Consider the following 14,056-nt stretch of genomic DNA (forward strand, 5'->3'; position numbering starts at 1 on the left):
AAAACTGGATTTCCATAAGCAAAAGAATAAAAGTAGACCCCTGTCTCTCACTATATACAAAAATCAAACCAAAATGTACTAAAGACTTAAATCTAAGACCTCAAACTATGAAACTACTAAAAGAAAACATTGGAGAACTCTCCAGAACATTGGGCTGAGCAGATTTCCTGAATAATGTCACACAAGCACAGGCAATCAAAGCCAAAATGGACAAATGAGATCATATCAACTTAAAAAGCTTCTACACAGCAAAGGAAACAATCAACAAAATGAAGAGGTAACCCACAGAAATGGGAGAAAATATTTACGAACTATCCATTTGACAAGGGATTAATAAACAGAATATATAAGAGCTCAAACAACTCTATAGGAAAAACAAATCTGATGATTTCATTAAAAAATGTGCAAAATACCTAAATAGATATTTTTCAAAAGAGGATATACAAATTGCAAACAGGGTATGTAAAGGTACTCAACATCATTGATTATCAGAGAAATGCAAAACAAAACTACAATGAGATATCATCTCACTTCAGATAAAATGATCTTTATCCAAAAGTCAGGCAATAACTAATGTTAGCAAGGATGTGTATAGATTTATCTCTAGATAAAAGAGAACTTTTTGTACACTTTTGCTGGGAATGTAAATTAGTACCATCACTATGAAGAAAAGTTCGGAGATTTTTCAAAAAACTAAAAATAGAGCTGCCATACAATCCAGCATTCCTACTCCTAGAAATATACCCAAAAGAAAGGAAATCGTATATGGAAGAGATCTCTGCACTCCCCTGCTTACTGTAGCACTATTCACAATGGCCAAGATTTGGAAGCAATCTAAGTGTCTATCAACAGATGAATGGATAAAGACAATGTACATATACACAATGGAGTACAATTCAGACATGTAAAAGAATGAGCTCCTGTCATTTGCAACAACATGGATGGAACTGGAAGTCATTGTGTTAAGTAAAATAAGCCAGTTACAGAAAGACAAACATTGCATATTTCATTTATTTGTGGGAACTAAAAATTAAAACAATTCAACTCGTGGAGATAGAGAGTAGAAGGATGGTTACCAGAGGCTGTGAAGGGTAGTGTTGGGGGGAGTGGGGATAGTTAATGAGTATAAAAAGTAGTGAGAAAGAATGAATAAGACCTCGTATTTGTTAGCACAACAGGGTGACTATAGTCAGAGATCATTTAATTGTACATTTAAAAATAACTAAAAGAGTATAACTGGATTTTTTATAACACAAAGGATAAATGCTTGAGGTGATTGGATACCCCATTTGCCCTGATGTGATTATTATGCTTTGCTTGCCTGTATCAAAATATCTCATGTAACTAATAAATATATACACTTACTGTGTGCTCAAAAAATTAAAAAGAGAAAAAAAGAAAAGAAAAAGAAAAACATCCAGATGACTTGAAAGGCAGAATAATTGGTTTTTGTATTTCAGGTAAATAATATTTCTAGAAATACATAAAGAAGGAATTTTCATGAGGTGTGAAAATACAGGTTTTAGCTTATGCAAACTTTGTAAATCAAATCAAATGGGATCACAAAATAAATATTAGAATTTTCATTCTTTATTGTCTTTTTCCATTAATTTTGAAGATTTTATGGGCATATGTATTTTTAAAATTCTGTTAAAGTAATGAGGCTTGGCAATTAACTTCACAAAGGATTAACTCTAGTACATATATATTAGCATTAATCCTTTTTGGAATAATTATTTATAAAATATAAATTTTTATATTTAACATTTATATATAATATATAATATAAAATTTATAAATTTATAAATACATAAATTTATATATTTATATGCATACACACAGTTTAGTAGTCTAGTAGTTCCTGTGTAATTAAGTAGGTTATGTAGGCAATATGAGGACTTCTGAATACGTCTTCAGTTGCTACCATGGAAACAATTTTTAGAGATGTTCTGCAGAGTGATGTGATGCTGATTAAAGAGTTCAAGCACTTCATTTTAAAATTAGGCCAGAGTCAGCCAGGAAGAAGCTGTACATTGCAGAGCTGGTCCACCTCTTGCTGCTGAGCTGGGCTGTGCTGGGCTGCTCCTGCCAGGTTGCCATGGCCAGCAGCACTTCTTTACAACCTTCTTGATCTAAGGAGGCCAGGAGGTAATTTACAGCATGGCAGCTCTGGTGATCCTTGTCAAAAGGTTAATAGTTATGAACTTTCCAGTTAAGAAATGTATTATGTACTGCTCTGTAATCTGTGAGTGCTTAGCCTTAAAGGGCTTGATGAGGATAATATTCTGGCATTTTACATTCTGACACGAACTTCATAACCATTAAAAACAAATGCTTGGCAAATTAATGGCTGTTGGATCTTTATTAACTTGCAGTGAAATATAATATCACTTTCATTAAAATATATTGCTGAAAAATGATGGTAAGAAAAATGTATTCTGAATGACAGTGAAGCTGTGAGATCCTAGGGCTGTTTATTTTATTACTATGGCAACTGTGATAAAAACATACACACTACCAATGTTGTTTCCTTTAGTGAAAATTCTAAATTATAAATCGACTTGCTAACTAATTTTAAATTCTTACTTTTCAAAACAAGGTGTTATTTTAGGGGTAAATTTCTAAAACTGAAATTTAGTCTCTTATTAGAAATACAGATGCAAAATGACTGCAGGACAATTGAAATTTAAAATAGTCTAAAACATTGAAAAAACTTTTCTATAGCTGAATTTTCCCCAGACCACTTACCCTTTATCCCTTTGCTCTTTTTAACTTACCAAGAATACAGTGCTGTGTAATTATGAAAATCTCAGTATTTGTTGCTATGAATCAGCGTAATGATACTTATCAAATCATTTAAAGAGAAATTAAATTTTTGCCATTTTAATGGGCATTCAAACAGTGTTTCACAAAACCATTAAGGTAAAAAAGCATCATGCCCATTTTATAGAACATGTTCTATCTGTTGTGCCACACTTAAACCAAGCTCTCTGTCAAAAAACAAACTGGCATATGTGAGTATTCATAAATAGACATAGATAAAGAATATTTTCATGTGTAGACACTTGTCACCAGTAAAATAAAGTAGTTTGAATTGCACTCAGCTGAAAACATGCTGAAATCTAGGTTCATTTCACTCATCGATTCATAAACTATTTATACCCAACTACTTCTGTGTAGTGTGGCAGGGATGTAAACTTGAAACATACACATCTAGGTACCTTTATACTCAATCATACTCTTTTTCTTCTGTCTTAATCTGTTTTGTGCTCTTGTAGCAGAATACTACTGGCTGAATAATGTATAAAAAGCACAACTTACCACCTCACAGTCCTGGAGGTTGAAAAGTGATATGGTTTGTCTGTATCCCCACCCAAATTTCATCTTGAGATCCCACATGTTGTGGGAGGTACCTGGTGGGAGGTCACTGAATCATGGGGCAGGTCTTTCTCGTGCTGTTCTCACAATAGTGAATAAGTCTCATGAGATCTGCTGGCTTTATAATGCAGAGTTTCCCTGAAAAAGCTCTCTCTCTCTTTGCCTGCTGCCAACCATGTAAGACATGACTTGTTCCTCCTTGCCTCCTTTCATGATTGTTAGGCTTCCCCAGCTATGTGGAACTGTAAGTCCATTTAACCCCTTTCTTTTGTAAATTGCCCAGTCTTGGGTACATCTTTATCAGCAGTGTGTAAACTGACTAATACAGTATATTGGAACCAGCAATGGAGTGCTGCTGAAAAGATACCCAAAAATGTGGAAGCAACTTTGGAAATGGGTAACATGCAGAGGTTGGAACAGTTTGGAGATCTCAGAAGAAGAGGAAAATGTGGGAAAGTTTGGACCTTCCTGGAGATATGTTGAGTGGCTTTGCCCAAAATGCTGATAGCAATAAGGACAATAAAGTGCAGGCTGAGGTGGCCTTAGATGGAAATGAAGAACTTGTTGGGAACTGGAGCAAAGGTGACCCTTGTTGTATTTTAGCAAAGAGACTGGCAGAATTTTGCCTCTGCCCTAGAGATTTGTGGAATTTCGAACATGGGAGAGAGTGATTTAGGGTATCTGGCAGAAGAAATTTTTAAGCAGCAAAGCATTCAAGATGTGACTTGGGTGCTGTTAAAGGCATTCAGTTTTAAAAGGGAAACAGAGCATAAAAGTTTGGAAAACTTGCAGGCTGACAATGTGATAGAAAAGAAAATCCCATTTTCTGAGGAGAAATTCAAGCTGGCTGCATAAATTTGCATAAGTAACAAGGAGCTGAATGTTAATCACCATGACAAGGGGGATAATGTCTCCAGGGTGTGTCAGAGACCTTTGTGGCAGCCCCTCCTACCACAGGCCTGGAGGCCCAGGAGGAAAAAATGGTTTTGTGGTTTGGGCCCAGGGTCCTTCTGCTGTGTGCAGCCTAGGGACTTGGCGCCCTACATCCCAGCTGCTCCAGCTGTGACTGAAAGGGTTCAAGATACAGCTTGGGCTGTTGCTTCAGAGGGTGGAAGCCCAAAGCCTTCACAGCTTCCATGTGGTGTTGAGCCTGCTGGTGCACAGAAGTCAAGAATTGAGGTTTGGGTACCTCTGCCTAGATTTCAGAAGATGCATGGAAATGCCTGTATGCCCAGGCAGAAGTTTGCTGAAGGGGCAAGGCCCTCATGGAGAACATTTGCTAGGGCAGTGCAGAAAGAAAATGTGTGGTTGGAGCCCCTACACAGAGTCCCTAATGGGGCACCGCCTAGTGGAGATGTGAGAAGAGGGCCACCATCCTCCAGACCCTGGAATGTTAGATCCATGGACAGCTTGCATCATGCACCTGGAAAAGCCACAGACACTCAATGCCAGACTGTGAGAGCAACCAGGATGGGGGCTGTACACTGCAAAGCCACAGGGGCGGAGCTGCCCAAGGCTGTGGGAGCCCACCTCTTGCATCAGTGTGACCTGGATGTGAGACTTGGAGTCAAAGAATATAATTTTGGAACTTTAAGATTTGACTGCCACACTGAATTCCAGACTTGCATGGGGCTTCTAGCCCCTTTGTTTTGGCCAATTTCTCTCATTTGAAATGGCTGTATTTACCCAATGCCTGTATCCTCATTGTATCAGGAAGTAACCAACTTGCTTTTGATTTAACAGGCTCATAGCTGGAAGGGACTTGTCTTGTCTCAGATGAGACGTTGAACTGTGGAATTTTGAGTTAATACTGAAATAAGTTGAGACTTTGGGGGACTGTTGGGAAGGTATGATTGGTTTTGAGATGTGGGGACATGAGATTTGGGAGGGGCCAGGGGTGAAATTATATGGTTTGTCTATGTCCCCACCCAAGTCTCATCTTGAATTCCCACGTGCTGTGGGAGGGACCTGGTGAGAGGTAACTGAATCATGGGGATGGGGCTTTCTCATGCTATTCTCGAAATAGTGAACAAGTCTTTATCAGGGGTTTCCACTTTTGCTTCTCTCTCATTTTCTCTTGCCACCACCATGTAAGAAGTGCCTTTTGGAGGGGTACGGTGGCTCATGCCTGTATTCCCAGCACTTTGGGAGGCCAAGGTGGGCCAATCATCTGAGGTCAGGAGTTCAAGACCAGCCTGGCCAACATGGTGAAACCCTATCTTTACTAAAAATACAAAAATTAGCTGGGTGTGGTGGTGCATGCCTGTAATCCCAGCTACTTGGGAGGCTGAGGCAGGAAAATTGCTTGAACCTGGGAGGAGGAGGTTGCAGTGAGCCGAGATTGCACCACTGCACTCCAGCCTGGGTGACAGAGTGAGACTCTGTCTCAAATAAAAAAAAAAAAAAAAAAAGAAGTGCCTTTCACCTCCTGCTATGATTCTGAGGCCTCCCCACCCATATGAAATTGTAAGTCCAATTAAACCTCTTTTTCTTCCCAGTCTCAGGTATGTCTTTATCAGCGGCATGAAAACGGACTAATATAGAAAGTCTAAAGTCAAGGCACCAGCGGTTCAGTCTCTGGCTCCATTGCTGTGTCCTTCAAACAAGGGGAAAGCTAATCCTCACATGGCAGAAGGTGGAAGGGCTAAGGGGCAAAAGGGGGCCAAACTTGTCCTTTTGTAATGGCATTAATCCCATCCATGAGGCAGAGCCCTCAAGGCCCAATCAGCTCCCAAAGGTCCCACCTCCCAGCACCGGTATGATGACAACCATATTTCAGCATGAGTTTTGGAGGGAATGAACATTCAAACCATAGCACCTTCTTTACTCCATTAAAGATGAAAACTCTGTGATTTCTGTGTTGAAATTGAAATTTTTTGGTTCTAAGGTTTTGTAATTACATGCACTCTTTGATTGACTGATCAATTTTACTGATGAGGAAAATGAAAGAACCTGTGGTTTCTTTTTAATTTTTCTTTTTTAAAATTTTTCCCTCTGCTCCAGAGCATGGTGTTTTCCAATTAGAGGTCAATAAAAACAGTGATTTAAGTATTTTTGAATAAATAAAAAGTAGCAGTTCCTTATTTTTGTCCTGCCTTTAGTCTACAGTCTACATTTTTGGCAAAAAGTTTCATTTTGCACATCTTTTTCCAGTATGCAGTGCCTGTGAGTTTCAAGTGCATTTGTTAACTTGTTGCATTTTCTTCTTTTGTCCTTTCTCCCCTCACCCCCATTTCATCAACAAGAACAACACATCATTTCAAATATCAAGGTATAATCATTCTCCTGCATGGCAAGTGTATTTGGCCATACTTTGGGCAGTATTTATCTTTTCTCAGAGAAGAGTCCCATTATCTTCATGGCAAGTTCACATTTATGACTATGGACTTCATGCCTATCAAGCAGCCCTGAGAGCCAAAAGACAGAATCAAACTGGATTCCCAACTTATTGTGTATAGCTTTTACCCAAAAAAGTTGTTGAGAAGATTGGAAAAGACAATATATATGCCTGGCTAAACAACTAATTGTTTTCATCTTTATTTTTCCCTGCTTTCATTTCTATTTTTTTTAAATAAAGCATTATAGTCATAATTTTCACTAGTGAAGAACTCATAAAGGTATGAAGGACAGGCTTGGCATGGCAGCTAGAATCCGATAGCACCTATATTTTTATGCACCACTATGCTTGGTGGATTGATATCTTGTATCAAGTCATGAGACAATTGCTCCAATTCTAGGCATGCCTCTCCTTTGAAGGGAAAAAATAGGTCAGTGAAAAACAGTAGGATCTAGTTGCACCTGTCCCCTTTTATTTGCTCAATTTTTATTTTGAAAGAATCTCAAGCCCACATAATACTCATAGACACAGTACAAATAGTAATCATTGTCCCCCTGAACTGTTTGAAAGTTGCTAATATGGTATCTAATCCCCTCTGACTATTTTAGTATGTATTTCCTACAAATGAAGACATGGTTCTACATAAACACTAATATTCATCATGAAATTGACACTGATACTGAGACATTACTGCCTTCTAATCATCAGACTCTACGTTTTACCAAGTGTTCCAGTCATATCCTTTATTACCAGATGATCTGGTCCAGTATCACATGCTCATCTAGCTGTCATGTTTCCTTAGTCTCTCTCATTGGGGAGCAGGTTGGCATTGGTCTGTCCTTGGCTTTTATGACCTTGGTGCTTTTGAAGATTACAGGTCAGTTATCTTTTAGAACATCCCTCAATGTGTTTTTATCTGAGGTTTCTTCATGATTACATTTGGGTTATGAATTTTTGGCAGAAATACCACAGAAGTGTTTTTATTGCATCTTATTTTTATTTGTACTATGTTATAGTGACTCTAGGGATATTAAGTTTGATAAACTTGATCAGGTGGCATTTCCACACACAATTACATCATTATTTTTACATCTATCCATATATATTGAAAATTGTATGTTCACACCAATGTCTCTAATTCCAAACCAAAGCCACAAGAGTTCTTCTAGGTTTTTCCTTTTCCATAATTGCAGCTTCTATCTGCAACAGCAAAAATCTTGGCTTTCGTAGTCCTTAAAATATTTACTTATTTCATCAATCTCCCCAAATGTAACTAATCTTAAGCCATATCCACCTCACCTCACACAAATGCTATGCTTCCTCTGCTCAGGCCCTACTACCCCCTATTGAACCACTCTTCTACTCTAATATTCTCCTCACACCCTTGGGCTGTCACATTCTGAGCTAGGCTGCCCCTCTGTGTGAGCCTCCATACCTCCTCAAGCTCTAACACTGATCTGGGTGCCTCCTCCCCTGCTTACCAATGTCTACCTTGCTTTACCTCCCCTAATAGCTTTTGGATTAAGTTATTTAGGATGGAAGAAAAGGAAAGGGAAGATAAGGAAAGAAGAGGGAGTGAAGCAAAGAGAAGGGAAAGGAGAGCAAGACAGGAAGAGGAAGAAGAGAAGGAAGTTGACTTTTGTATTACCCTGCTTTCACTCCCGAGTTCTCTCTGCTTTTGAATTCATTGCCTCCTTTACACCTGTTTTCATCTTCAATTAATATTATGTTTTTAAAATTAGAGGCCTCTACCTTTCTGCCTCTGTTTTTTAAAATTTTCCAGATTTATTAAGGCATAATTGACAGAAATGAATGTATGTACTGTATTAAATATGATATTTTGATAAACACATACACTGTAAAGTGATTATGACAATCAAGCTAATTAACATATTCTTCACTTCACATAGTTACCACTTTTTTTGTTGTTGTGAGAACACAAGATCTACTCTCTCAGCAAATCTCAAGTAAATAAAATACAGTATTATTAACTATAGTTACCATGCTGTACATCAGATCTCCTGAACATACTTATTCTGCATAACTGACACTTTTTACACTTTGACCAACATCTCCCCATTTCTCCCAATCCCTAGCCTCTAGCAATCACCATTCTACTCTGTTTTGATGACTCTGACGTTTCAAAATTCCACATGCAAATGAGATCATGCAAGATTTGCCTTTCTGGGCCTGGCTTATTTCATTCAGCATAATGTCCTCCAGTTTTATCAATGTTGTTGCAAATGGCAGGATTTCCTCCTTTTATCCATTCATCTGTCTGTGGACACTCAGGTTGATTCCATATCTTGGCCTTTGTGAAAAATGCTGCAATAAACACGGAAATGCATATATTTCTTTGAGATACTGATTTAATTTCCTTTGGATATATACCCAGTAGTGAGACTGCTGGATCTTATGGTTATTCTAAGATTTTTGAGGAACCCCAATATTGTTTTCCATAATGGCTGTACTAATTTACATTACCACCAACAGTGCACCAGGCTTCCCTTTTCTCCACACCCTCACCAAAACACTTATCTTTCATATTTTAGATAATAGATGTGAGTTGATATTTCATTGTGGTTTTAATTTTAATTTCCCCAATAATTGGTGATGTTGAACACTGTTTCATATACTTCTTGGCCATTCCCATTTCTTCTTTTGATAAATATCTATACAGGCACTTTGTCCATTTTTTAATCGTATTATTTGCCACTTTTCTTTGTTCCTGTTTGCTCAGCTCGAATTCTATTCAAATTTCAATTAGTTTGGGAAAATTATCCCTAGTGAAGGTAATGGTTTTGAATATCCTTTTGGAAATACAGTTCATCCTCACCCTTATATTCCTTTTTATCATTTCGGACAAATTATTTAATAGGCCAAAGCTTTACAAGTAAATTAATTGGCTAAAAGATGAACTCATATGCATTTTGATAACTTGAATGTGTTTGGCTACTTATACTCCATCAACAGAGAAAGCTGAGAAAGTAACTCTTTTATAATAAGCTTTTGAGTGGGGAAGGTCACATCCGATGGCCATGATAGAGTGGGTGGAACCAAGTTACTGTGTCATTTAGCACAGTCCTGCCCATTAGCTCTGAATCAAGTCTGTCTCTTAAATTACATTAATGTTGCTGGTAATTTCAAATCAGGAAACGTGGGTACTTTTTGAAGGAAGGATGTTTTGAATTTGTTGGTGACAAGGAAAGAGATAGCTTTAGCTCAGATTTGGAACAAAGAAGAAAACAATCTGGACCAAGGCAGCCTGTTTCAGAGGCCAGCTTGGTGTCTAGTGGCAATACCAACCTTCTGGGAGCACTTCTAGTTATGCTGGCCTATCTCAACTATACGAAAGGAAAGCACAGGAAGGAATTTTGCCTAAATTTGGACTGGAGTTTTAAAGGTGATCAGCAAGCCCTTGGGTGCTGTCTGTGTCATAGCAATGGGGCTTTAATTATAAAATCCCCAAGTGCAATACACAGATCAAGAGTTGAGTTCCAGTGTTCGATAGCCCAGGAGGGAAACTACTGTTACAATAACTTATTGTACATTTCAAAATAGCTGAAAGAAAGATTTGGAATTTTCCCAACACAAAGCAAGGGCAAACATATGAGGCATTGTATATCCCAATTACCCTAATTTGATCACTACACATTGTATGCATGTGTTAAAATATTGCATGTACCTCAGGAAGGTATATGATCATTATGTATCAGCAAAAAAAAGGTTTGAGGCCACTTGTCTAGTTCCTCAGCCTTTGTGACGATCTCTCCTAAGAAACTCATTTTTGTGTGTGTGTGTGTGTGTGTGTGTTTTTTTTTGAGATGGGGTCTCACTCTGTCGCCAGGCTGGAGTGCAGTGGCGCGATCTCGGCTCACTGCAAACTCCAACTCCCTGTTTCAAGCGATTCTCCTGCCTCAACCTCCCAAGTAGCTGGGATTACAGGCACACACCAACACTCCCAGCTAATTTTTGTATTTTTAGCAGAGACGGGGTTTCACCACGCCAGCCAGGCTGTTCTCGATCTCCTGACCTCGCAATCCACTCGCTTCGGCCTCCCAAAGTGCTGGGATTACAGGTGTGAGGCACTGTGCCCGGCCAGAAACTTTTTTTAAAAAAATTAAATAAAAGCATGTAAAATTTCATTTTATAAATAAGGCCATTTCTATTTTATTTCTATTATTATCCACAGATATTTATTTATTTATTATTTTTATTTTTATGAGAAAATTCAAATTTATTTTAATGTCATGTCATTTTCAATGTGCTTAAAAACCTCATAAATTAGTAGGAGCCCTAGTTTCCTGGGACAGCATGCCAGATGTACTGAAATTTGTCACCTTTCCCTACAAACCCCTAGAAATTTAATCCAAGTCCATAGCTTCAGAAAGCTAGGAGTTGTATCTTCAGACAGTCTACTCCTCTGGTTCTTGGTTTTTCTTTCAAGGGAAGGAGATCACAATATTTCAAACAGTGAACAAAACCAGTTGAGCTTCCAGCTCAGTTTTCTGTAGAATGGAGCAGGGAAGACCCCACTGACTCCAGAGAAAAGGGTGAGGTTGAGATGGATTATTTCTTTACAGCTTTGTGAAAATGGAAGAAAAAAGATTGACTAATTCAGATCCATTTCATAGATAAGAATCGCTTCATAAATGAAGGCTCCAGCTCCTAAAATGGGAGGGGCCTGGCTGGACAGCCTGAATCAGATGAGGAATTGGCCACACTGAATAAAAACAATCTGAAAAATAATCCTAATTTTGAAGCCAGATAAAATACTTGGGGAGAATGGAAAAAAGGAAAAAGCCCCAAACGGATGAAAAAATGCTAACATCAGAATGGTATAAAAAAATTTGGCTGAGTTTTCAGTGGTGGTGGCCAATTTAGCCTGGTTCTGTAGTAGGGTCACAAACCTTGACCAAGCAGAGAGTAGTAGAAAAGGCTAGAAAGAGGGGCTTGAAGACTATGAATTTTGACCCCTGATTTTATTATTCAATTTCTTTTTTTCATCTAAAGTAGTCTTCCGTGCCCAGGAAGCCTCGCCTCCCAAGACCAGAGTCAGTTGGAGCCGGTTGTTGTTGGAAAGGAGTGGGTTGGGTAACTGGGGTGGAGGCAGGGAGACCCCCACTCTGCTGGATGTCCTAGGTGGAGAAGAAGAACTGCACTTCACAGAGTCTGGGGTGTAGTGGGAAGGGGATGAGGCAGGAGCAGCAAGCTGGGGAGATGGGACCCACCTCAGTCCCCAGCTTCATTTTCTTCTAATATTTCCCCACTGGTGGCATTTTCTGCAGTCTTGGAGGCCTTCTTTTTTTTTTCTGGGTTTTTCGACTTGCAGAACTCGAGCAGGGCCTTTAGCTCTGCATCCTGGACCTCCATCTCAGACTTGTAGAGGTCAGGCTTGAGGGGACTACTGGTTATCCGCATGGGGCCACTGGGCATGAGCAGAACTGTAAATTTAAACTGGGCAAAAAATTCACTCTCCTTCTCATGGAGAACATTAAATGGTTGCAGCAGTTCATGTTTGGCACACTCCACCACACCTATCCGAGCCTTCTTCTCATCTTCAAATGCTCTTAAAGTAAACAGCATGACATCAAAACGCCTTTCCATCCACTGAAGAAGGCACGTGAAGTTTTCATTTTCAGTCCATACTCTTCAGGAGTGTCTCATTTGTAAATAGGGGTTCTCTGTCCTGCATCCTTGGCCTTGCCCTCTCCTGAGCTGATGAGAACATCCACAGCGTATACTTCATATACCTCAAATTCATCTTTTTCGTGGTCCTTCTTCTGCTGGTCTGTGGGATTCTGGATAACGGTTTTTTCTCCATCGATGACATGCTGCTTCAACTGGTGTGACAGCATACCTTCTATTGGCTTGTAGTTAAATTACTGGGCAACTTTGTTCCAGGCTTCTGTCACTTGTGTGTTCTGATTTCCAGGTTTGACCAGGCGTAGGGCAGCTTCAGCACAAAGGTGAGCTGCCTTAATAACATCTGCTTTCCTCCCTGTTACTTGGGTCCCCTGAGCCACATCAACCACAAAAGTATGAGCTACATTAGCGATGAAGCCATCCACATAGACCCCAAGGTCAATTTTTACCAAGTCACCTTCCTTGAGAATATAATCCTGGCCACTCTCCAAAGGGGAGAAGTGACATACACAGTTATTTACTGAAATACTGGTGGGAAAAGCAATGCCTTTCTTCATTTCCTTTTCTTTCTTGAAGATTTTCCCTGTTTCTTCCATAATCACGGCATCACTTTTCTCACACAGGCTCAGTACCAATACACCTGAGCTAGATGCTTCCACCAAGGACCTAAGTACCCGGTGGGCAATGTCGCCCCCCATCTTATACTTGGTCACAACCAGGTCTTCAGCGATAGTTTGCTTCTGCTGCTCGTCCTCACCCTACATCTTCCTACCACCACCACTGCAGCCTCATTTCTCCTGAGCCGCCGCCTCTGTCTCCCTTCCTTGCCGCAGGCTTTGGTCAGAGCCCCCTGGATCCTTGAGGAGAGGGTGAGCGAAAGCGCGAGCTAGCAAGGGAGCGGGCAGGCAGGCGAGCGTCATCCACAGATATTTAAATGAAAGAGACAAGCATACCACACCTTAAAATTTTGAGAATTGAGGAAAGAAAGACATTCTTTTTCTATGAACATGCCAAGCGGGATCCTAACTTAGGGTGTTTGCATTAGTTATTTCCTCAGCTGGAAAGCTGTTTCCCCAGAGCTTCCTTCTCATTCTTGACTCCTTCTTGCCATTCAGGTCTCAACTCAAACTTCGGTGAAAACTTTTTGATTAACTAAACTGCAGTCCCTTGGTGTTTCACTGGCATAGCACCTTAATATATTTTCACCTTGGCACTTTCATATTCTTATTGTATTCTTGATATATTGGCTATTTGCTTACTGTCTACCTTCATCAACGTGAATGTAACTACCAAGAAAGTAAAGACTTTGACTGTCTTGGAGTTGAGTGTTGTATTACTAGTACTTTGAGTATCTGGTGTCACATAATATCTAATCAATAAATAAATGTTTAAAGAATGAATGACATGAAAGCAATAGTGATTGAGTAGAATGAAGCCTCTTCAGATGAATTATATTGGACACAAGAAAAAATAGCTGGGATGTAAAATGAGCTAAAATAGCAGTTAAATAGGTATTAACAAACTGGTTCAAGAGTGTAATTCACTTCATATTGACCAGCCAGAGGTAATAGCAAGCAGCTTTCTAATTGAACAGGGCCCAAACAATATGGTTACTTATGACTAATTAAATTAATCATCTTCGACTTTGTTAAGTGTCTTATAGATGTTTAAAATATCTAAGAAGTATTTACTATA

At 39.2% G+C, this 14,056-nt stretch overlaps 1 pseudogene; it reads right to left on the reverse strand.

The window, feature by feature from the left end:
* On the reverse strand, positions 10,935-13,275 carry PA2G4P5 (proliferation-associated 2G4 pseudogene 5; annotated as a pseudogene).

This window comes from Homo sapiens, chromosome 6 (assembly GCF_000001405.40).
Source record: "Homo sapiens chromosome 6, GRCh38.p14 Primary Assembly".
NCBI lineage: Eukaryota > Metazoa > Chordata > Mammalia > Primates > Hominidae > Homo > Homo sapiens.